The 26,737-nt window shown below is 38.5% G+C and overlaps 1 pseudogene, besides 3 other annotated features; it reads left to right on the top strand.

The window, feature by feature from the left end:
• Nucleotides 5,752–6,046: an enhancer, noted in NCBI's record as "tiled region #5068; HepG2 Activating non-DNase unmatched - State 4:PromP". NCBI's record gives its function as "activates a minimal TATA promoter and a strong SV40 promoter by Sharpr-MPRA in HepG2 cells {active_cell/tissue: HepG2}" and the evidence as "EXISTENCE:reporter gene assay evidence [ECO:0000049][PMID:27701403]".
• Nucleotides 5,752–6,376: a biological region, named in NCBI's record as "Sharpr-MPRA regulatory region 5068".
• Nucleotides 5,841–6,376: an enhancer, noted in NCBI's record as "H3K27ac-H3K4me1 hESC enhancer chr13:41976419-41976954 (GRCh37/hg19 assembly coordinates)". NCBI's record gives its function as "activates a minimal SCP1, AML or CMV promoter by ChIP-STARR-seq in primed H9 embryonic stem cells {active_cell/tissue: H9 hESC(primed)}" and the evidence as "EXISTENCE:reporter gene assay evidence [ECO:0000049][PMID:30033119]".
• Nucleotides 23,583–24,977, top strand: TUBBP2 (tubulin beta pseudogene 2; annotated as a pseudogene).

The raw sequence follows: 26,737 nt of genomic DNA, 5'->3' as shown, positions 1-26,737 counted from the left end.
TTGTGAGCACCTGTAAGTTCATTATGATACTCAAAAGAGAAGAGTCTATATAAAAGTTACAGAAAGGTAGTTATAAAAACATTATTACATATGTTAATATATTTGGAGGTTTGTGTCTCCTCTTAAGTACATGTTGGCTTATAAAGCATAGTTCTTCTGGAATCTGTGTAAGCAATAAGTGAACACACACACACACATATAAATCCACAAGTTAATGAAACAATTCCAGGAAAAGCAGAAACTGTACCAAAAACAGAGAAATCTAATCAGCACCAGCTGTACACTCATAACAAGGTAGAAAGGGATCCAGTTGTCAATCAACACATATTGCATAATAACCAATCAAAATCTTTGTATTCCAAAATGATTAACCAGCCAAATGGCCCAAAGAAGAGAGTTAACTTGGTTCCTCTTCTCCTGGAAAAGAAAACCTCCAAATGATTCATTGTAATGAGATACTCATAAGGCAGTAATGTGTTTTCAATTAAAACATCAAACAAGGTGAATATATCATAATGGCAGAACAATGAGTTTGTCAAAGTCAGCCATTTGAAACCTAAACCAATATAATTTCTGAGAAATATACCAAATTTCAACAAACCAAAATCTGTGAGAAAGTCGACTTAAAATTCCCATTGATTAAATTTTAAATTTTAAATAAAAGTCCCATTGATTAAATTTTAAGGTGCAACTTACGTGTAAAAGGCACTTGGCTAATGACTCAGGTTTTGCCTTACACTGGACTATGAAATCAAATTGAGGTCTCAACCAAGAACCTCACAGATCTTGAAACTGCAGAAGATCTAATTTTTGTTTTGTTTTATTTTTACCTTTATAATCTGATAAGATTATTGCAACTTTAGGGGGAAAAACAGAAATAAAATTGGATCAAATTGCTGTAATTTCAAATATGTAACTGAGAAGGCATAAGGATAAGAATAAGAACAGAGTAAGAATAAAAGCCTGTATATCTGCACAAAGCTAGCTAGCACATGAATGCCGACAGTCGCTATTTATAATAACCAAAAATTGGAAACTACCCAAATATTCAACAAGTGAATGAATAAGAAACTTGTGGTATATCTATAGCATGGAATACCAATGAGCAATAAAAAGGAATGAAGTGTTGATACATGCAGAAACACAGATGAATCACAAAAATATAATAAGCAAAAGAAGCTAGACATAAAAGAGTATTGTAAGATCTTTGTGCTATTTAGTATCTGGTTAAGTCGCTTTTTAGGTGTTTAAAACATTTATGAGAAGTTTGTCTACTGGACTGATGACTTAATCAAATATTTAGAAACATTTATAAGATGACTTTTAGTCAATATTGATAAGTATGAGGGATTATAATTGGTAAAAATTCAAACATTTTTATTTATTATTGTGGAAGTCCTATACACATATGTAAGGGAGTATACACTTTAATGAATAGAGGAATGCTAATTGTTTAAAATGTTTATAGGAATATGCATTGTTACATTAAATAAGGCATAATAGAAGAGAGTGGTCCTCGCTTGCACAAAAGCCTCTTACACATTCAATAATGCATCGACATACATCAGTACAATTCACCCCCCATCTTTGTCAGTATAGGCACATGAATATGGCAGGGCTGTAATCAGTGTTTATAGACCATCTGTGGTGTGTTGTGTCCACTTAATGATTTTTCACATATGTAATTTGACCTGTAGCAATAGCCCGCAGCATTGTCAATTTTTGAGATATTGATAAAGCATGCCTAGTATACCACAGTTTGACAGGTTTTTTTCTCCATCGTGGGCCTTAAGTTCAAAAGCATGGAAGATTTTTGTTACCAACCGTTTCTTTTCTTGCATCGTACACTAGTGATAGCCAGATCCAGCTCAGAATCCCAGCTTCACCCTGTCATAGCCATGTGACCTTGCCCACCTGGCCTTTCCCAGCTTCACTTATCCTACGGTTATGGAGAGGATTACAGAGGCGCTGCAGCGCCGGGCACATAGTAGCCAGATGTGTTGAACCCTAGACCTAACACATAGTTTTCAGATGTTCTTCACTCTCACTAAATATGCTCTTAAGGGCAGCCAAGCCTTTCAATTTGAGTGTGATATTAACAGAGCTTCTGCATAGGTTGCTTTTTATATTCTAGACGTAATCTGCTTTTCTTCTTTGAGAGTTCATTCAAGCTTACATTTTTCATTCCTCAAACCAGTATTCTCCCCACTTTTTTGTTTTTGTTTTTGTTTCTTCACTCCTATGCTTGCCATCTCTGCTACTCCTTCCTGTGGACCTTCTAATCATTTGTGCTGTCTTTTCTATTGGGTACATATATTTTCAATGTTTTCTTTAGGCATAGATTGGTGCATGTATTTTAAACAGAGTTGTATTTTATATACTGTTTATAACCTGTAACCATATGATCAGTTTCCATGTCTTTAAATATTATTTCTCATCATTTTAATAGGTATGTGGATAAACTGCAATTTAATCAGCTCCCCACTTTTTAACATTTAGATTTTTACTTTTTCACTATCGTAGATACACTCTGATAAATATTCTAAGAGCTATATTTTTAGACTCATCTATGATTGTTTCCTTAGAATAAATTTATAGATATTAAATTGCTGGGTCAGAGAAATATATGAAATTCTAAGTCTTTGAGTGTGTATTTTCACATTACCTACAGAAAGATTATACCAAATTATGTTATAGCTGTCTGCAGAAAACATAAGGCAATCTTACCATGTTGATGAATTTTGTGTGGACGCTTTTGTACTGATCAATCTTTAGAAATATTAATATTTTCAGTAAAATATTAACATTATTTCCTGAATATAAATAAAATGCTGAGCTCACATTTTACCAATCTGATACAAAAAGAAGTGAATACTCTCTGAAATGTCACCTTTATTAAACCAGTGCTCTGTAAGGGCACCTTACAATGTGGTACCTGGTGTTTGTTTTTTTAACTTTTTTAATTGATACATAATATTTGCACATATTTATGGGGAGACTTGTTTCATAAAAGCTCATTCAGTTTATTCGGAGATCAGTGTGTGCAGTGACCTGGGGGCATTCCTATCCCCTTGTTGCTCTGATTTGCCTGAGCAATGCCGACTAAGCACTTTGTTTCAACCACAAGGGTCTGGGCTCTGCATAGCTATACCATGCCTTTTAGATTAAATCTGATTTCTTCCTCCAAGTGAATGCTTTACTCTTATAGCCAACAGGGCACAGAGTTCAGAGAAAGAAGATCATGTTCTATAGTGTATTAACACCTTAAAAGCATGTACCCATCTGTTTCCAGTTTGAAAGAAATCAAAGTTAGGCTTATAGAAAATCAGGCACTGTGAATCAATCAATTAATTATTGTTGAGTGTTGACAATGTGCAATAACAAAATTCTTGTTATTACATAAACAAAATCAGAGAGTAAACTTAAAATACATTGGTAAATATTCTACTTTCTTTTAGGTTTAGTTACTTTTTCTGGAATATTGGATGAATGCTGGTTGAATTTTTTTTCCTAGATGCTTATTTTCCCTTAACCTGGAATAAGAAGACCATAAAATATCCTGTTTTTCCTCAAAAGATGCTTTTTAAAATGATGAAATTAAGTGTCTCATCATATAAGTATTGGCCTTATGTGTTTATTCTGTGAAATACCAATTTATGTATTTTGTGTATTTTCCTGTTGAGTTGTGTTCTCTTCTTATTGATTTATAGGAGTTCTTAGAATTATTTTGATATAGAATTTTTGTTAAATGTGATACATCCTCTCTGTTTGTAGCTTATCTTTTGACCTTATTTAACACGTTGTTGATGAACACAAGTTTTTAATTGTTATGTAATGAAATTCATCACACTTCCATTCTATAGTGGGCTTTTTTTGTGTCCAATGTTTAAGAAAGCCTTCCCTACCCTCAAGATCTAAAGATATTCACCACTTTTTCCTTCTGAAAGTTTTAATTGCTTTTGATATTTGAATGGTTAATCCATCCAGAGTTGATTTGCATGTCTGATGTAAGATAGAAATCTAATTTACTCTTCATATGGATAGTAAGTTTCTCCAGTGCCATTTATTGAAGTCCTCATAAATAACTCTGGAAATGCAAATCAAGACCATAAAAAGACACCAATTTACATCCATTTGATTGGCAAAAATTAAGTCTGGCAACACCAAATACTAAAGTGGATAGATGAATAAGATAGCTTAAACATTGCTGGCAAGAGTATAAATTGCTACAACCGCTTTGGAAAACAGTCTGGCATTATCTTGTGAAGTTGACATTCACACACCCTACTACTAACCCAGCATTTCATTCTTTGGTAGAAACCAAGGAAGACGCCGGCATGTGTGCACAAGGAGAGAGAGCCCCTTATGAGAATGTTCACTACAGTGATGTTGATTACAGCAACACATGGTAAAGCCTACACTCTGGAGTCAAGAAGGCCAGATTAATAAATTATGGCATATTCACACTGTGGAATACTATGTAGCAGTGAAGATGAATGAATCACAGCTAACCACAACAATATGAATGACACTTCGTAATAAAAAAAAAAATAAGTGGGGAAAAAGTCCCAGAAGATTATATATGGCATGATATCTGCAATGGACTAAATTTTTGTGCTTCCCCCGCTGCACCAAGAATTCATATGTTGAAACCCTAATCCCAATGTGGGCCTGTGGGAGATAATCAGGTCATGAAGGTAGAGCCCTCTTGGATGGGATTAGTGCCCTTATAAGAAGAGGCCTGAGAGCCAGATAGTGCTCCTTTCACCTTTTGAGGATACAACAGGAAGATGGCAATCTGCAACTCAGAAGAGGGTCCTCCCCAGGGCCCCACCAGGCTGGCACTCTGATCTTGGGCTTCCAGCCTCCAGAACTGTAAGAAATAAATTTCTATTGTTTATAAGCCACTCAGTCTACAGTACTTTGTTATATCAGCCCACACTGACTTTAAAAAAATCTTTTTTATAAAAGTCAAAAGCAATTAAAATTAATCATTATGTTATTGACATGCCTATATGTGTGCTAGAAATATATTTTAAATCAGCAAGGAATAAAACCACAAAACTCAGAATACACTATGTCAGGTGGGCAGAGGTGGAAGGAGCCCAGAACTTGGGGCTCCCAAGCAAGGGCTGTGACGTGCTATAACACTCTCTTTGGGGCTCTGCAAGCTTTCAGGCACCACTGCTTTCCACCTTGCCCAGACACTAGTCTGGATACAAGCAGAAGCCGCTTGTAGTATGTCTGGTCCAGCCGTAGCCTCGCACAAAGGCACTGCCTGTGCCAGTGCCTGGAGCTGCCCACCCTGCTGCAGCTGGCACACCTGGCTGTGCACAGTGGCCAGACCCTGTGATTGCTCATTCACACACTCCCTGCCTCTCTGTGCCTGGCTTGACTTTGGCAGGAGTGGGATCCAGGCTGGTAGCACAAGCCAAGTGCAGCCTGACGGGCCGAGTCGGCAGAACAAACCCAGTGGGTGCAAGCAAAACTCAAGCAGAGGTGCCACTGGCCACAGAGGTTTCCGGCTGGTGAAGCGACATCCTAAGGATCCTGTGACAATCCCAGGAGGCACCAGAGGGGAGCCGGAAGTGACTGTGAAGAGAAGGAAGCTGGTACAGAGTGCCTTACTGAGCACATTACCACTGTGAGAGGCTGGGCCTGAGCTCAGGTAGGAGACTCTGGGAGCTGCTGTGGAGCACTCAAGGCTATCCCACCTGACAGGCTGGGAAGCTGGGGTGTTTATTCTCCAGATCTCCTTTGTCATCCACCTAGGGCTGGTCCCAGGGCATTACCTCCCTGCCCCTCGTCTCCCTCACACTCAGGCAAAGGGGAAGCTCTCCCGGGGACAGACATGTGTATTTACAGTCAGACACCCAACAGCATGTCCTGATATGAGCACTGCCGATAGGAGGTGGGTGGGACACTGAAGCCTCGGCTACCAGGCAAGTCAGGACACGTCCACTTCATTGCTTCTGTCAAAATTGAAGAAGGCGCTACTCAAGTTGTCCACAGATAGACTTTTTAATAAAAGGCGTTTGATGGACATCACTCCATAATTTTTGGCATAAAATTGAGAAAAGTTTTAAATTATTGAATGATATTGATATACAAATTACTTCTAATCTTCTCTGCCTTTTTATTGATTGATTTTTAATATATACTTAAAAATTGTTTTACTGCAGATATTTAAGGTTGACAACATGGGATGTTTTAATATAATGAAGTGGTTACCACAGTCAAGTAAATTAACATAGTCATCATCTCATGTAGTTACCTTTTTTGCATATTTATTGGAATTAAGTTAATTAATATGTATTGATTACAGCTATATCTCTGTAAAAATAGGGATAATAGGAATAAGTGATAGTCATCAGTATGTAATATTTAATCATTGGATACATGAACTAAAAGTTTAAAAGGCCAATAAAATTTTACTTTTACGTTGAATATTTATGAAAATATGTAGTATATTTAACTTGTTTTTAACATGCTTAGAGTCTTATGGCCACTGAAAAAATTTAAATTTCTAATTTCAGTTTACATGAGAATTTTCATTCTGGAGAACCATGTAATTGTGATCAATTAAACAAACGGAGAATTTGGAGTGGAACTATAGGTTTAAGGAGAAAAAATAATGTGACATGTCCTATTGTAATTCAAAAAAACTGAAATCATACCAACCACATTCTCAGATCACAGCACAGTAAAAATAGAAATCAATACTAAGAAAATAACTCAAAACCATACAATTACATGTGTGTAACCAAGCTGTTAATAAAGTGCTTGGTTTTTTTTTTTTTTTAAGGATGATGAATGGGTGGATTTAATGGATGAATTGAGACTCCACTGGATATGGATAAAGAGTGATGTAATTATTTTATTTTAAAATGTAAGTATATGTGGAACCCAGGAAATCACCTCTTTTGCTATTAATCCTATATGCTTAAAATGAAGAAGTTTAAAAGTCACCCCAAAAATATTTTAGGGAATCCACTACTTTAATTCCCAGTCCCAAATTCCTGGAAAGAGGATCTGATTGGCCTAATGTGGACTAGAGAGCTCCCCCTGGTGCAATCAGTTGCGGCCAGGGAGGTGGTGTCACCAGGCTTGCTGCCCATCATAATGAGTCGAGAGTGCATGATCCAAACAGTGCCCAAAGACGAGGCAGGTAGTCCCAGGCAGGCACCCCAAGAAGGCTTCCTACTTAATATGCTAGCGTTTCTTATACATACAACTCCAGTGTACTGATTTTTGTGCTGAAACCATTCTTTTAATATATATAATATATTTTATATATTATATATTTATATATATTTTATATTTATTATTACATTATATATAATATATAATATAATATAATATAATATATATTTATTATTATATATTAAAATATCTATTATATAAATATATTTATATATCAATATAAATATATTTATATATCAATATAAATATATATATAAATATAAATTTATATACAAATATAAATATATATAAATATAAATATATATTAATATAAATATATTTAAGTATATATATAAATATAAATATATATTTATATAAATAAATATATTTATATAAATATATATTTATATATATTTATATAAAAATATATTTATATATATAGATATATATAAATATATTTATATAAATATAAATATATATTTATATATATAAATATATTTATATATAAATATGTATATATATATAAATAATATTAAATATATTTATATATAAGTATGTATATATATAAATAATATTAAATATATTTATATATAAATATAAATATATAAATATAAAAATATAAATATATAAATATATGTATATATGTACATATATAAATATATGTATATATAAATATGTTATATATAAATATGAATATATTTATATAAATATAAATATATTTATATATAAATATGTATACATATAAATAATATTAAATATATTTATATATAAATATAAATATATATAAATATAAATATATAAATATATGTATATATAAATATATTCATATATAAAAATATATTCATATATATAAATATAATCATATATAAATATAAATATATTCATATATAAATATAAATATATTTATATAAATATAGAAATATATATAAATATATATATTTAAATATATAATATTATATATTATAATATATATATTATAAGTATACAATATTTTATATTATAAATATATATATTATACATATTATATATTATATATATTATAAATATATAATATATATTATATATTATAAAAATATAATATTATATAAATATTATATATTATATATATTATGAATATAATAGTATATATTATATATATATTATAAATATATTCATATATAAATATATTCATATATAAAAATATATTCATATATATAAATATAATCATATATAAATATAAATATATTCATATATAAATATAAATATATTTATATAAATATAGAAATATATATAAATATATATATTTAAATATATAATATTATATATTATAATATATATATTATAAGTATACAATATTTTATATTATAAATATATATATTATACATATTATATATTATATATATTATAAATATATAATATATATTATATATTATAAAAATATAATATTATATAAATATTATATATTATATATATTATGAATATAATAGTATATATTATATATATATTATAAATATATAATATTATATATTATAAATATATAATATTATGTATTATAAATATATAATATTATGTATTATAAATATATAATATTATGTATTATAAATATATAATATGTATTATAAATATATGTTATAAATATATATTACGTATTATAAATATATATTATAAATATAAATAAATATGATATATTTATATTATAAATATAATATATTATATATTATATAATATATTAAATATATAGTATATATTATATAATATATTAAATATATATTATATTATAAATATAATATAATAAATATAATATATTATATTATGTTATATTAATATATAATATAATATATTATATTATGTTATATTAATATATAATATAATTATATATTATAAATATATATAATAAATATATATTATATATTATAAATATAATATATATTTTATATATTATATATTATATACTTTATATATTAATATTATATTTTATATATTAATATTATATATAATATTATATATTAATATTATATATAATATTGAATATCATATATTACATTATATATTATTATAGATGTTATATTATATATTATATATCTATTAATATATAATATATGATAATATATTATGTATAACATATTATATATAAATATATAATATTGAATATAATATATAATATTAAATATAACATAATATATATTATATATAATATATAATTACATGTAATATATATTATATATAATATAGTCACAAGCCTGATCAACATGGTGAAACCCAGTCTCTACTAAAAATACAAAAATTAGCCCGCCGTGGTGGAGTGCACCTGTAATCCCAGCTACTCAGGAGGCTGAGACAGGAAAATTGCTTGAACCTGGGAGGTGGAGGCTGCAGTGAGCCGAGTTCATGCCACTGCACTCTAGCCTGGACAACAGAGTGAGACTTCCTCTCAAGAAAAATAAAAAACAACTCTCTTAGGCACATTGATTTGCAGAGATACTTGAGGGTGCCAGCCATGAGGCCAGCCCCTACTGCTTCTGTTTTTCTCTGCACACAGTGAGAAGCAGATCGGGCTCTGTATTTACAGATGGGAACACTCGGAGCGTGAAGTGGCACATGAACCTCTCTCATGACATAAATTTCCTCCTTCCATTCAGGCACTGGCCCAGCGTGTATTTTAGATTCCTTCTTTTGCATCCATCAGCACCTCTACCACTCATTTCATAAGCCAACCTATATTTTGCTCTTATATTTTTAATCTGATTGAGTAATACAGCTACCAGTCTAGGCCAAAATTGGATTGATTTACTTGTGACTATGAGTAACACAACAGAGAATAGAAAGGAAACACATACAGACAGTTTGTCTCCAGAGAGGTACACGAGATGCCCTGAGGAATGTCACGCTCCAATTCAGAGTTTCCCAGCATTTTGGGCACTGCTGTACTCTCTTTATGAGCTTCCTTATATCTGCTTAGTACTTTTATTTTAACAGCTGTATTAAGATAGAACTCACTCATTTAAAGTGCACAATTCAAGGTTTTTTAGCATATTCACAGAGTTCTGCAACCATCACCATAATCTAGTTTTATTTTATTTTATTTTATTTATTTTTGAGACAGGGTATTGCTCTGTCACCTAGCCTGGAGTACAGTGGCACCGTCACAACTTACTACAGCCTTGACCTCCCGGGCTCAAACGATTCTTCCACCTCAGCCTCCTGAGTAGCTGGGACTACAGGCGTGCACCATCATGCCAGGCTGATATTTATATTTTTTGTAGAAACAGGGTTTTGCCACATTGCCCAAGCTGGTCTTGAACTCCTGGACTCAAGCAATCCACCCGACTCGGCCTCCCAAAGTGCTGGGATTACAGGGGTGAACCACCTTGCCCAGCCCATAATCTAATTTTAGAACATTTTTATTCCCCACAGAAGAAAGTTCGGATCTCTTAGCAGCTGCTCCCGATTCTTCACACCCGGTTCTATACACACACCCCTCAACTCTGAGGAGTGATTAATCCACTTTTGTCTCCACAGATTTGCCTATTGCAGATATTTCATACAAATGATTCATATGATTTGTAACAGGCTTCTTTCACTTAAATAATGTTCTCAAGGTTCATCCATATTTTAGCATGTATCAGTACTTCAATCCTATTTATTGCCAAATAATATTCTATTATATGGATATATCACATTTTATTTATCTATCCATCAGGTGTTGGAAACTTGTGTTATTTCCACTATGCAGTTATTATGAATAATGCTGCTATAAACATTTGTGTTCAAGTTTTTGTGTGGACGTTATGTTTCATTTCACTAGGAGTGCATTTACTAGGTTAAATGATCACTCTTTGACTAACATTTTGTGGAACTGCCAAACTGTTTGTCAAAGTGGCTGCACCATTTTACATTCCCACCGGCAATGTATAAGGGTTCCAGTTCCTCCACAGCTTTGCCAATACTTATTATTTGTCTTTTCTATTATAGCCATCCCAGTTGTTGTGAGGTGGCATCTCATTTTGGTTTTCATTTATTTCCCTGAAGATTGGTGACATCAAGCATCTTTTAATATGATTATTAATTAGCCTTTTGTATATCTATCTTCTTTGGAGAAACATCTATTCAGATCCTTTGTCCATTTGGTTTTTTTGTTGTTGTTGTTGCTGTTGTTTGTTTGTTTGTCTGTCTGTTTTTTGAGATGGAGTCTCGCTCCGTCACCCAGGCTGGAGTGCAATGGCGCTATCTTGGCTCACTGCAACCTCCGCTTCCCGGGTTCAAGCGATTCTCCTGCCTCAACCTCCCGAGTAGCTGGGATTACCGGTGCACGCCACCATGCCCAGCTAATTTTTTGTATTTTTAGTGGAGACGGGGTTTCACCATGTCGGCCAGGCTGGTTTCGAACTCCTGACCACGTGATCCACCCACCTCGGCCTCCCAAAGTGCTGGGATTACAGGCATGAGCCACCGTGCCTGGCCTTTGCCCATTTGTTAATTGAGTTATTTTTCTTTTTATGATTGAGTTGTAAGAATTATTTATATATTTGGAGTACAGGTCCCATATTAGATACATAGCTTGCAAATATTTTATCCCATCTTATGGGTTGTCTTTTCATTTTCTTGATGGCATCTGATAAGGTTTGCCTCTGTGTCTCCACCCAAATCTCATCTTAATTTGTAATCCCCATGTGTCAGGAGAGGGACCTGGTGGGAAGTGATTGGATCATGGTAGTGGTTTCCCCCATGCTGTTCTCATGATAATGAATGGGTTCTCGCAAGATCTGATGGTTTAAAAGTGTATGGCAGTTCCCTCCTTGCTTTCTCTCTTTCTCTCTCTCTCCTGTTGCCACGTAAGATGTGCCTTGCTTCTCCTTTGCCTTCCATTATGATTGTAAGTTTCCTGAGGCCTCCCCAGCTCTGCGGAACTGTGAGTCAATTAAACTGATTTTCCTATATAAATTACCCAGTCTCAGGTAGTTCTTTATAGCAGTATAAGAATGGACTAAAACAGGATCATTTGCACCACAAAAGTCTTACTTTTATTTATTTATTTATTTATTTATTTATTTATTTATTTATTTATTTTGAAACAGAGTCTCGCTCTGCTGCCCAGGCTGGAGTGCAGTGGTGCGATCTCCGCTCACTGCAAGCTCCGCCTTCCGAGTTCATGCCATTCTCCTGTCTCAGCCTCCCAAGTAGCCGGGACTACAGGTGCCTGCCACCACGCCTGGCTAATTTTTTGTATTTTTAGTAGAGACGGGGTTTCACTGTGTTAGCCAGGATGGAAAAGTCTTACTTTTGATGAAATCCAATGTATACATTTTTGTTGCTTGTGCTTCATATATAAGAAACTGTTGCCTAACCCAAGGTCTCAAAATTTACTCCTATGTTTTCTTCTATGAGTCCTAATAGTTTTAGCTCATATATTTGGATCTAATTTTGAGTTAATTTTTATTTGTGATACGAGGAAAGAATCTAACTTCATTCCTTTACATGTGGTTGTCTAGTTAACCCAGTACTATTGGTTGAACTTATACTTTTATTTACCTAATTTTTCCTTAATTCAACTAATCTTTTTCATGTAAAAAATATTTTGAAGAAAACTTTATAGCACTACTATGAATGTAAAATGAATATAATATGCCATAAAAAGAAGAGAATATAAATACTAAAAAACAACACTGTGGCCGGGGGTGGTGGTTCATGCCTGTAATCCCAGCACTTTGGGAGGCCAAGGTGGGCAGATAACTTGAGCCCAGGAGTTCAAGACCAGCCTGGGCAACATGGCAAAACCCTGTCTCTACCAACGAAATACAAAAATTAGCCAGGCGTCATGGCGTGTGCCTGTGGTCCCAGCTACTTGGGAGGTCGAAATGGGAGGATTGCTTGAGCCTGGGAGGTGCAGGTTGCAGTGAGAAGAACAAAAAAAACCACTGTAAGATTTTAGTTAGAGCTGCAAATGACTATGGAAGGCATTAGGGATGCCTAATCCCTAACAGTTAGGGAGGCATTAGGGATACACTATCACCAAACTATTTCCAGTGAGAAGGATTGAAAGCGGGAATTAGAAAGGATGCTTGTCTCACTAAATGATTTCATGTGAATTAGGGCCAGGTCCCCACGGCACTAAGCATGGGTCCCTCCTTTTGGGAAACAATTCTCTGTAACACTGGCATGTGCACTAAAGGAAAGAGCCTGGGCTGGAGAGGCGGCCCAGCATGGGTTTGAATCTCAGGCTCGCCACTTATTGTCTGAATCTGGGCAAGTTTCTCAGCCTCATTGAACCTTGTTTGCTCAGCAGAGACAATCTTTTCCTAATGGGTGGTTTGAGGATTCTGTGCTACAGTAGACAGAAGGCAGGCCAACATGGGGTAAGCATATGGAAAAGTCAGTGTCCTCTGGGTGCTCTTGCTACTTCAAGAGAATCTGATGCACAAGCAGTGCTCCCCAGAATATGGATGGAGGCCTGAGCCACATAAGAATACCCTGGGGGAGATATCCCCCATCCAATTTGGTGACTGCGCTGCACACAGTTTGGCAACCACTCCCATACACCTGCTGTGGGTCTCAATGGCTGTCCTGACAGATCAGCCTTGGCAAATTTTCCCAGCAGAATCTGAATCCATTCCACTCCTGAAGACACAACCTCTGACAACCACTTCCAAGTTTCTCTCAAAGCTTGGAGAATTTGGTTTTATCCATAATAGGAGAAAAAACCTAAAAGCACAGAGAATCCAAACCAAAAAGCTGAAAGCATGGAAATCCAAACACATCACCAAATGATCAGCCTTCCCAGAGGCAGTATGGTGGCTTCAGCCTGTCCCACTGTCTTCCCCTCCCCAGCCTCTACTGGTAGATACTTTCTGCAACCAAGGCCATCCTGGGCTGCAGAAAGGAGGGAATGGAAAACCCTCACCAAGAGTAATCTCCCTGAAAAACCACAAGCCCACTCATGCCATGAAGAACTACTGAGTCCCTCCCATGGCCACAGTGAGGATGTTGAGGGGTATAGATGCATGAGGGGATCTAAGAACCTGCATCTAGAACCTCACTGCCTGGCAAGGGAGAGGAAGCACACATCAAGCTAAGCATTTCGTAAGAGAGGCTTCCTGAGGCATGACATCTGATATGGTTTGACTCTGTGTCCCCACCCAAATCTCATCTTCAATTGTACTCACATAATTTACATGTGTTGTAGGAGGAGCCCAGTGGGAGATAATTTGAATCATGTGGGTGGTTTCCTCCATACTGTTCTTGTGGTAGTGAGCAAATCTCATGAGATCTTATGGTATTGTAAGGGGTTTCTTCTTTTGTATCTTCCTCATTTTTCTCTTGCTGCTACCATGAAAGAAGTGCCCTTCACCTTCCATCATGATTCTGAGGCCTCCCCGGCCATGTGGAACTGTAAATCCAATTAAACATCTTTTTCTTCCCAGTTGTTATATATAAAGTTTCAGTGCCCCAAAGAAATAGCACTCGAGTATAAAATTTTCTTTTAATTCTCAGCAAGGCAAGGTACTTCTATAGAAGAATGCGCCCTTACAGATGGAGCAATGGTGAGTACACACCTGGACAAGGGAGGGAAAGGGGTTCTTATCCCTGAGGCACATGGGCCCTGCTGCCGTGCCGTTCCTCTATCGGCCAGGGTTAGACCGCACAGGCTAAACTAATTCCAATTGGCTAATTTAAAGAGAATGACGGGGTGAGTGCTTTGGCGGGAGTCAGGGCAGAGCAGGTAGCAACTGGAATGAGTTAGGGTGGAGCAGGTGATCGGAATGAGTTAGGGTGGGACAGGTGATCAGAATGAGTTAGGTTGGAGCAGTTAATCAAAAAAGATTGTTTTACGAGGAAGTAGAGATGGTAAAACCCCATCTCTACTAAAAATACAAAAATTAGCTTGTAGTCCCAGCTACTCGGGAGGCTGAGGCACAAGAATTGCTTGAACCTGGGAGGCGGAGGTTGCAGGGAGCTGAGCTCGCACCACTGCACTCCAGCCTGGGTGACAGAGTGAGACTGTCTCAAAAAAAAAAAAAAAAAAAAAAAAAAAAAAAAAGACAGGAATGGCTCCATAGCCCATCACCAAAGTCCCCAACCCTCTAGTTTCAAATATCTCAAATGTGGGTGTTCACATTATAAGTATTCTGTACTGTTCCTTCCCACCCTGACCCCTTTTCCTTTGGGAAATTAAGAGATCTCTCATGCGTTCAGCCAAGAGTCAACATACCCATTTGTTGCTGGCAGCTGGAAATTGGCCGGATGTGCAGTATTTTTAGCACAAAACCAGCAAATTCTCCCTAGCAGGGCTTTCTCCCCTCCTATCCCCTACACACCCCCAGAGTCAGTTATTAAACATTTACCAGGTCGGGCATGGTGGCTCATGCCTGTAATCCCAACACTTTAGGAGGCTGGGGCAGGAGGATTGCTTGAGCCCAGGAGTTTGAGATAAGCCTGGACAACATAGCAAGACCCCATCTCTACAAAAAAAAATTTTTTTAATTAGCTGAGAGTGGTGGTATGCACCTGTAGTCTCAGCTACTCTGTAGGCTGAGGCAGGAAGATCGCTTGAGTCCAGGAGGTTGAGGCTGCAGTGAGCTAGGATCACGCCACTGTGCTCCAGCCTGGGTGACAGAGCAAGACAGTGTCACAAAAAAAAATTAAAAATTACCAGCGTGTGAAACTAGATCCCTTCCTTACACCTTATACAAAAATTAATTCAGGATGGATTAAAGACTTAAATGTTAGACCAAAAACCATAAAAACCCTAGAAGAAAACCTAGGCAATACCATTCAGGACATAGGCATGGGCAAGGACTTCATGACTAAAACACCAAAAGCAATGGCAACAAAAGCGAAAATTGACAAATGGGATCGAATTAAACTAAAGAGCTTCTGCATGGCAAAAAGAAACTAACATCAGAGTGAACAGGCAACCTACAGAATGGGAGAAAATTTTTGCAACCTACCCATCTGACAAAGGGCTAACATCCAGAATCTATGAAGAACTTAAACAAATTTACAAGAAAAAAACAAACAACCCCATCAAAAAATGGGCAAAGGATATGAACAGACACTTTTCAAAAGAAGACATTTATGCAGCCAAAAGACACATGAAAAAATGCTCATCATCACTGGTCATCAGAGAAATGCAAATCAAAACCACGATGAGATACCATCTCACACCAGTTAGAATGGCGATCATTAAAAAGTCAGGAAACAACAGATGCTGGAGAGGATGTGGAGTAATAGGAATGCTTTTACACTGTTGGTGGGAGTGTAAATTAGTTCAATCATTGTGGAAGACAGTGTGGCGATTCCTCAAGGATCTAGAATGAGAAATACCATTTGACCCAGTGATCCCATTACTGGGTGTATACCCAAAGGATTATAAATCAGGCTACACTAAAGACACATGCACACGTATGTTTGTTGCGGCACTATTCACAATAGCAAAGACTTGGAACCAACACAAATGTCCATCAATGATAGACTGGATTAAGAAAATGTGGCACATGTATACCATGGAATACTATGCAGTCATAAGAAAGGATGAGTTCATGTCCTTTACAGGGACATGGATGCAGCTGGAAACCATCATTCTGAGCAAATTATCACAAGGACAGAAAACCAAACACCGCATGTTCTCACTCATAAGTGGGAACTGAACAACGAGAACACTTGGACACAGAATGGGGAACATCACACACAGGGGCTGTTGGGGGGTGGGGGCCTGGGGGAGGGATAGCATTAGGAGAAATACCTAATGTGGGTGACGGGTTGAGGGGTGCGGCAAACCAACATGGCACATGTATACCTATGTAACAAACCTGCACATTGTGCACATGTACCCTAGAACTTAAAGTATAATAATAAAAAAAATTACCAGCATATATTTCTTCTTGTATATACTTCTCTACGTTTTTTCTCTACGCTGCCCTTTACCATGAACATTTTACTCATGAGAAATGCCAAGCAAAAGACACTAAGTGATTATACAAGACTGAGTGTAAGTCACAGCCTCACTCTTGTGACTTCTTTCCTCTACACCACATGCCCTGACTTAAGCCACCTCCTCCCACCCACACCCCCAGGTGTGATCGACACTCCTACACTACTTCTCACCTTTTCCCTTCACCTCTTCCAACTAGATTATTTTACTCTTTTAAAAAAAAATTTAATTTTTAATTATTATGAGTACATAATAGTTGTATGTACTTATGGGGTACATGTGATGTTTTGATACAGGCATACAATGTGTAACTAGATTTTAAGGGCAAGAAAGCATGGCACAAGAGATGAGGTAGGTACAGCTACCTACAGCTACAGCTGGCTACCTCATCTTTTGTGCCATGCTTTCTTGCCCTTAAAATCTAGTTAGACATTGTATGCCTGTATCACTGCAGCAGTGGAAGTGGAGCTAGCTACACCATTTTAAAAATATTCTTTTTAAAAAGTAGAGAGCAAAAGTAGCCTATCCCCTGCGTAGCCATACTTGTAATGGTCCCCATTATGAATCAGGACCCTCCAAGCTCATTTTGAGGATTTCATAGTATGTACTGAACAGGGTGAATTTGGAGAGTGGTAATGACAACTCTGAAGACCAGTAGGAAATGAGGAATGAGCCTGAGCGCAGTGGCTCCTGCCTGTAATCCCAGCACTTTGGGAGGCCAAGGCGGGTGGATCCCTTGAGCCCAGCCTGGGCAACACAGCAAAACCCCGTCTCTGCAAAAAATGAGCCAAGCATGGTGGCGTGCACCTGTGGTCTCAGCTCCTTGAGAGGCTGAGGCAGAAGGACTGCTTCAGTCCGGGAGGTCGAGGCTATAGTGAGCTGTGATTGTGCCACTGCACTGCAGCCTGGGTGGCAGAAGGAGACCCTGTCTCAAATAAATAAATAAATAAATAAATGAGAAAGGAAAGAAGTATTATAATAGCAATAGATCATTTATATTTCATATTTCAAACAATAGAGACTATAGGTATGAGAGAGCAACAGACTAGATTTTTACCTATTTCCCCATATCTCTGAATCTGATTTCTTTTTTTTTATTTTCTGAGCACCTAAGTGCTATGAGAAATCTAAAGATACAAAAGCTTAGAATGCCTGGCTTGAAGTTTCCAGACTGGCTCTAGTTTTAGATGATCAAATTTTGTATCAAAATATGAAATATGCACATCTTTGCATTAAAATAAAATTATGGTCAGGCGCAGTGGCTCACACCTGTAATCTCAGCACTTTGGGGGGCTGAGGTGGGTGGATCACTTGAGACCATGAGTTTGAGACCAGCCTGGGCAACATAGTGAAACCTCATCTCTACTAAAAATACAAAAAATTAGCTGGGTGTGGTGGTGCGTGTCTGTAGTCCCAGCTACTCCGGAGGCTGAGACAGGAGGATCACCTGAGCCCGGGAAGTTGAGGCTGCAGTGAGCCGCGATCGTGCCGCTGCACTCTGGCCTGGGCTACAGGAGTGAGATCCTGTCTAAAAAAGAAAGAAAGAAAGAAAAATTATGAAATGTTACCTAAAGCCATTGAATTTTTATCTTTATCTTTTTATATACACATTCACAATTTTTTTTTAGAGATGGAGGTCTTGCTATGTTGCCCATGCTGGCCTTGAACTCTTGAGATCAAGGCTTCCTCCCACCTCAGTTTCCTGAATAGCTGGGACTACAGGTACACACCACCGCACCCAGCTTAAACATTCATGATTTTTCATATGCTTTTTGAGGTTTAGTCTGGCTCTTTGGTCTTTGGTTCAGGAAACACTGTCAGGGGCCTTTGGGGCTGTGGGAGGACCCATCTGGAGCCTCTGATTGCAACATCCAGCCCATAAACAAATTGCTTTTAAGATGCAATTGCCTCCTTGGGCTCAGAAGGTTCTAACCAGCTACCTTTCAAATAAATAAATAAATAAAAATTTTAAAAAAGAGGCTCAAATCCTTACTAAACTAAGGATAACAGCTCCTAAGTACAGAATGCTGCCAGATGGACTACAATCAGACCAAATTCTAACTGCATCACCCAGGAGACACAGTGGATAAATGACTTGCCCAAAGTTATCCAACTTGAAGGGCAGCACCAAACCCATCTTACTCCAAAACCTGTGTTCTTTCCTCCATGCCCTAGTCTCAGATCATGTGCTGGGAAGAGATTCAAGAACTAGGAAGATGCTGCTTTCAAATACAGCAGTGAATGGTCTCCCTTGATCCTCCTGCTACTAACCCCCAACCCAACACAGCCTCTTCACCCTCTGCAAGCTCTTCATCTCCTATCTTGTCACCTCCCAGAGAAGAGAGTCTCAGTCCCAGCTGCACATTAGAACCCCGGAGGAGCTTTTAAAAACAAACTACACCCAGGTCCCACCCTGGTCAGATCAATTGAATCAGAATATCTGGAGGGAGAGTCCTGAGCATGATGTATATTTTTTAACTCACTTCAAGAGATTAGAATGTGCAGCCAGCATGGAGAATCACTGTCCCAGAGCCAAACACTGGTTCTCTGCCAGGGCCACACTGGTTTTTAAAAGAAATGTCATTGCCCAGCTTCTATCCCAGGCCAAGTAAATCCAAACCTCTGATCATCATCTTTTAGAGTATTTCTCTCTACAGTTTAATGTAGGGTGTTGGTAGAATTGCTAGACTTTGTAAACCTGTTTTCTTTAGTTGGCTTATGGAATATAGTTAGACCATTACTACACACTGATAATTAAGAAAAAAAATAATCTCTGTGAAGGGCCCGGTTATGGGTTTCTTAAACTCCCGGAGATGTTCTCACAGCGTTCAGTTTCCTTCTGGGTATTAGAGCACTAGAGGCCTCAGAGGTCCCAGGAGAGGGGCTAGCCACAGAGTTCCTATTGTCTAAAAAAATAATAATAACTCAAGGCACAATGGAAATCCACCTTGATCTGTAGAATCCATTAGGATCCCAAGTCCTTGTAGGATGCCAGAGCCCTGGCAAGGTGAGGTGGAGATACAAAAAGAATAATAACAATGATGATGGCAATTGAAGTGCTTTACATACGTTTAGTCCTCACTGCAGTCCTATGAAGAAGGTATACCAGTGCCCTATTTTGTAGATAAGGAAACTGAGGCATAGAGATGTTAGAGGCGTTTGAACCAGAGTGACTCTATCTTGAGCAGGGGCTGGGTAAAATAAAGCTGAGACCTGCTGGGCTGCATTCCCAGCCAGTTTGGCATTCTGAGTGACAGGATGAGATTGGAGGTTGGCACAAGGTACAAGTCATAAAGACCTTGCTGATAAAACAGGTTGCAGTAAAGAAACCAGCTAAGACCCACCAAAACTAAGATGGTGACGAGACTGACCTCTGGTCATCCTCACTGCTACACTCCCACCAGCACCATGACAATTTACAAATGCCATGGCAACATCAGGAAGTTACCCTATATAGTCTGAAAAGGGGAGGCATGAATAATTCACCCCTTGTTTAGCATATAATCAAGAAATAACTATAAAAATGGGCAACCAGGAGCTCTCAGGGCTGCTCTATCTATGGAGTAGCCATTCCCTATTTCTTTACTTTCTTAATAAACTTGCTTTCACTTTACTCTGTGGACTTTCCTCAAATTCTTTCTTGTGGAAGATCCAAGAACCCTCTCTTGGGGTCTGGATCCGGAACCCTTTCCAGTAACAGAGAGATTCACTAACATGCCAAAGATAACACCTCTGTTAAGTGGCAGAAAAGGAATCCAAAGCCAGGCAGTGTCGCTCACCCTGGCTCAAGGAGCTTACAGTCCAGTCACAGTGATAAGACATGAATCCAGATAACGCCCCAGCAAGTTAGTGTGCCAGAAATGAGGTATATAAGTGCTGTAAGGTAGCTCAACACATATGTGAAGCAGATTAACTCCATCAGAGGCAGCAGACCAGCCTTAAAGGTTTAATGCAGTGGTCCTCAATCTCTGCTCCTGGAGGGTCTGGGAAGGTTTTCAGCTAGATACAAACGTTTGCCAATGAAATGGAATAATGGCAGCCTTACTCTATTGGTGGGAAATAAGCAACTAATGATGTTTTTTTCCATTTCAACTTTTTCTGCCGCAAAATATTCCTGAAGCTTTTATTCCTGCTACAATGTATGTGCTCATAAATGAGGGGAGAAAAAAGTACAAATTAATATTACTGGAAGTCACCAACAGACAATCTTGCTTAGTTCTCTTATTTTGTTTGTTGTCAATGGTTGCCATTTCACATTATGTAGATAAGGTAGTTATCATTTTTTCTTTTTTAAAAAAATTCTTTTTTATTTCCCTGTTTGGAAAATACAGTTATCATTTCTGCTAACAAAATGACTCCTCTTGTAAGTAGAGATAAACAGATCAGAATCTTATGATGCTCTCAAAGTATACTCTGACTCCAGGTGCCTCTCCCCAACTCAGGTGAGACCCTCACCAAAGTGGTACAACATGCTCCTAATTAAACCTCTCCCCCAGCTGTGATGATGGAGGAAGATAAGAGTGGCTAAGAACTCACCGAATGAGTTACTCAGCTATCCTGGCAAACTGGCGGATGATCATCACTTTTGGGAGAGGCTGGGTCAGGTTCACATGACTCTCAGATCCCCCAGCGACTGAAGCTGAGGATGGGCAGTTGTGCTGAGACACATTCCTCAGAACCTGCAGACAGATAGATGCCTTGCAGCAAAGCCAAGAGGTAGACCTGGGGATGCAAGGGGGAACTCAGAACCCCCATGTGCAGGATAACTGTTGGAAGCTAAATTCGCATGTACAGGGTTGCCATATTCTTCTATGTGGAACAAGTCACACTGCTGCATTAAAAAGCTTGGTTCACTTTTGTCCCATATTCAAAACTCCCATTGTCTAAACACAGCAGCCCAGGATGAGGGCTGAGTTGACTAAACGGTGCACAGAACCATGATTGGTCATCCTACTCCTTCAATTAGGAGATGGCTGCTCAGGCATAACTCTTGGAGATTGTGATTTTGTGAAATATAAATAGTCGTTCTTTGTTCCGTTTCCTGGCACACAGTTCCCAAAACTCTTGAAATCTCTAAAGTGTTGTGTCAATGTCTTCTTTATGCTAATGAGACATCTGGTGGGCGGGGAACGCTGGTTACCAGCCACATGATTAGAGGGGTGGAACTTTCAGCCAGCCTCCACCTCCAGGGATCTGGGAGGACTGAAGGTTGAGTTAATCACTAATGCCAAGGATGTGATCAATCATGCCTAGTAAAGAAGCCTCCATAAAAACCTAAAATGACAGGGTTTGGAGAGCTCTCAGGTTGCTGAACACTTGGAAGTGTTGAGCGAGGCACCCGGAGATGACAGGGAAACTCATGCCCCTTCCCACACAATTCACTCTGTGCATCTCTTCATCTGTGTCTTTTGTAATATCCTTTATGATAAATGGGAAATATAACTATTTCCCTGAGTTCTGTAAGCCATTCAAGCAAATGATGGAACCCAAAGAAGGAGTCATGGGAAGCCGTGATTTATAGCTGGTCGGTCAGAAGGAGCAGAGGCCTGGACTTGCGATCTGCATCTGAAGAGGGGATGGTCTTGTGGGACTGAGCCCTTCACCTGCGGGGTCGGATGCTGACTTCAGGTAAACAGTGTCAGGATTCAGTTGAATTGTAGGACACTCAGCTGGTGTTGGAGAATTGGTTCATGTGTGGAAAAGAGCTGCACATCTGGTCACAGGATTGTTCTGTCTTGAGGGCTCAGTGAACTGTGGCAGGGTGGGGACTTGTGGGGTAATCAAAATGGGTCTGACACAGTCTTTGACTCTCAGAGCCTTCTGGTTTGTGGGCCCAGAATCATGGGATGCTGTTACCTAGATAACCCTCCTCACGCTACAGGCGAGGAATAAGGGGCCAGGGAGGGTGTGACTTGCCTGCGACCAGTCCCCATTCTTTCCGCTCTTGTATCAGGGCCCTCTCCCACACAAAACTGCACTCAGACACATTGGCCAGGTCATGGGCTTTACACATAGCAAAGGCTGTATCTGGGATTTTTAACCTCTGCAGAAGGCAATGATCAGGATGTATTGGATCAGAAATCTATATATTATACAAGGAGGAAATACAGACACTTCCAACACACAGCAACAATCTCATTTCCCTGAGACAATTAAAACAACAACTCTGGTCAACATACGGTCCTTCTTTTCATTCTCAAGGAATCAGAAAAGTAAAATTTGAGTTGGAAAGCTTGCCCTCCAGTGGAGAAATAATGAACTAACCACGCACTTCAAAGTTTCAGAAAAACAATTACCATATGCTAACCAAGTGTTAACTGGAAAATAAAAAAAGTATAAATAAAAGCCTAGGAAAGAATATGAGTACCTGCTGTGAGCTTAGCCTGGACCCTGCCTTTAGAGAACCTCTTTTTGAGAACATGATGGCTGCCTGTGACCCCCGCCACGGCCGATACCTCACCGTGGCTGCTGTCTTCCATGGTCGGATATCCATGAAGGAGGTCGATGAGCAGATGCTTAACGTGCAGAACAAGAACAGCAGCTACTTTGTGGAATGGATCCCCAACAACGTCAAGACAGCTGTCTGTGACATCCCACCTCGTGGCCTCAAGATGGCAGTCACCTTCATTGGCAATAGCTCGGCCATCCAGGAGCTCTTCAAGCGCATCTTGGAGCAGTTCACTGCCATGTTCGGCAGGAAGGCCTTCCTCCACTGGTACACAGGCGAGGGCATGGACTAGATGGAGTTCACCGAGGCTGAGAGCAACGTGAACGACCTCGTCTCTGAGTATCAGAGTACCAGGATGCCACCGCAGAAGAGGAGGAGGATTTTGTTGAGGAGGCCGAAGACGAGGCCTATGACAGAGCCCCCATCACCTCAGGCTTTTCAGTTCCCTTAGCCATCTTACTCAACTGCCCCTTTCCTCTCCCTCAGAATTTGTGTTTGCTGCCTCTATCTTGTTTTTTGTTTTTTCTTCTGGGGAGGTCTAGAACAGTGCCTGGCACATAGTAGGCACTCAATAAATACTTGTTTGTTGAATGTCTCCTCTCTCTTTCCACTCTGGGAAACCTAGGTTTCTGCCATTCTGGGTGACCCTGTATTTCCTTCTGGTGCCCATTCCTTCCATCTGTCCAGTTAATATTTCTCTCTTAAAAATCTCCAAGAAGCTGGGTCTCATCCAGATGCCATTTAGAACCAACCAGGTGCTGAAAACCCATGTAGATAATGGCCACCATCCTAAGCCCAAAGTAGAAGATGGTAGAAGGCAGTGGGTAGAAGTCACTATATAAGGAAGGGGATGGGATTTTCCATTCTAAAAGTTTTGGAGAGGGAAATCCAGGCTATTAAAGTCACTAATTTCTAAGTATGTCCATTTCCCATCTCAGCTTCAAGAGAGGTGTCAGCAGTATTATCTCCACTTTCAATCTCCCTCTAAGCTCTACTCTTTGGAGGTGTCTGTCCCACTCTGTCAAGTGGAATCCTTTCCTTTCCAACTCTACCTCCCTCACTCGAGCTCCTTTCCCCTGATCAGAGAAAGGGATCAAGGAGTGGGGGAAAGAGTCCAGCCTTGGTCCCTAAGCCTCCAGAAATGTCCTCTTAATCCCCACTTTTTCTTACCCCCTAAAAAGAAGGAACATCCCTGACTGTGGAATGGTGTATACTGCCACATCAGTGTTTGAGTCAATCCTCAGAGGAGAGGGGAACCCTCCTCCATCTTTTTCACAACATCTCATTTCTTCCTTTTGCTGTTGCTTCCCCCCCCCCACACACTTGGTTTTGTTCTATCCTACATTTGAGATTTCTATTTTGTGTTGAACTTGCTGCTTTTTTTCATACTGAAAAGATGACATCGCCCCAAGAGCCAAAAATAAATGGGAATTGAAAAAAAAAAAAAAGAGAACCTCTTGTCGAGGAAACAAGACTTTAAACACACACAAGGCCAGGAAAATGAGTAAGACACGGCATGATTACTGAGCATCTGACAGAGAGGAAGGAACACTCAATTCAAAATTAGAAGGAGTGGGTTTGGATCCTGCTTTGTACTAAGAAACTGTGGCCCTGAGAGAAGCTTACATCCTATCAGCTGACTGTCATGGAAAATGGGGATGATAATATGACCTCTTTCACAGGGCAGTGGTGAAGGCAAATCAGAGATCAGAGAAAATACTTAGTGACTGTGAGTGTTCATCAATGACATTTATGAATATTTATTTTGCGCTGAGCTCTGTGATTTATACTCAAGACAGACATGGTTGGAGACCTTACAGAACTTACAATCAAGCTAAATAAGTGGTCATCACAGGGCACCCAAATAGCAGGCAACTGCTAGCCCACATATGTCCTTGCAAGATTTGAAAACAAACTGCAAAACGATGCCCTTTCTGAACATGCTTAAAATGCTCATGGAAAGAAACCAGTAGAGAGGCAGAGACAAATGGTACAGGATGTGATCAAGCCAAGTAAGTACCCTAAGACCTGAGGGAAAGAAATTCAGAACACAGGGAAAATTACCCTTTTGGGGAAGAAAAATGTGACAAGATGAAAGGAGGAAAAAATTCTGCAATCAGAAATAAGTTTATAGATTTAGTACAGGGAAGATTAAGAATTTGTATCTGATGGCTTCTATTTTTTGTTTAAATGGGAAGTGAGGTTATAATTTCCTTATCAATTACCCAGTCTGTGGTATTCCATTACAGCAACAGAAAACAGACTAAAACAGATGGAGATGAAAAGTATTGATACCAGGGAGATCAAGAAACTGAGAGGCCAGAGTGTTGAGTGGGTGCACCAAATAGATGCTGAAACCACCTGGAATTTCAGCACGATTGGAGAGAAGGGAAAGTCTGTGAGTCAGAGAAGTGTATAAATGACAGCAACAAAGAGATGTCAAGAGTACAGCCCAATAGCATTATCCTCAAAGGAGCATGGATTTGTTTGTACAATGTTGGAAGAGTGATGGGCTAGAAATGGTGGAGAGTGAAATGCTCTGAATGCTCTTTCCAGGGAGATGGTGAGAGAATAAACAGTCTCCACTTGAAAGGGCTGCATAATGGATAGAGATCCGTTACGATTTTCAGTTAAAATTAAAAGATAAGCGGAAATGGTGAAGGCAGAGAAAGAAGATGTATGGAACTGTGAAAACGTAGATTTAGTACAAGGAAGATTAAGAATTTGCATCTGGCAAAGCCATGCAGTTGAATATTTTTAGAGGGTAAATTGCAAAGAACACAAGGAAAGAGTATAGAGAGGGGCTGACCTAAGGAAGAGAAAACAACAGATGGGGATGAGAGGATGGGAGAGGAAAGAGAACCAGAGAGCGCTTACGCCTTGAGTGGAACTCAGAGATGGTCACAGGTCTGCCAGAAGTATGAGTCCCTACAGATCCCTGGTGGATTAGGAGTAGGGGGTGGAGGATAAGGGATAGGGGAGTAGTCCTGAATAAGCTACAGGGTAGGTTGATCATATGGCCGTAGGTTCACAGGCTCCCAGAGGCTGGGATTGAGCCGAAGCCAATATATGATCCCGTTCAGGGGCTATGAAGCCACTTTAGCTACTTTAAGATAAAGAACTTTCACTTATCACAATGGCTATCCTAAAGATGTAAAGTCACAAAGTGCTGCTAAAATATTAACAGACACCTGTGTTCT

This window comes from Homo sapiens, chromosome 13 (assembly GCF_000001405.40).
Source record: "Homo sapiens chromosome 13, GRCh38.p14 Primary Assembly".
Lineage (NCBI taxonomy): Eukaryota > Metazoa > Chordata > Mammalia > Primates > Hominidae > Homo > Homo sapiens.
Note: the sequence above shows the minus strand (reverse complement) of the source record. Positions and strands in the feature narration are given on the sequence as shown.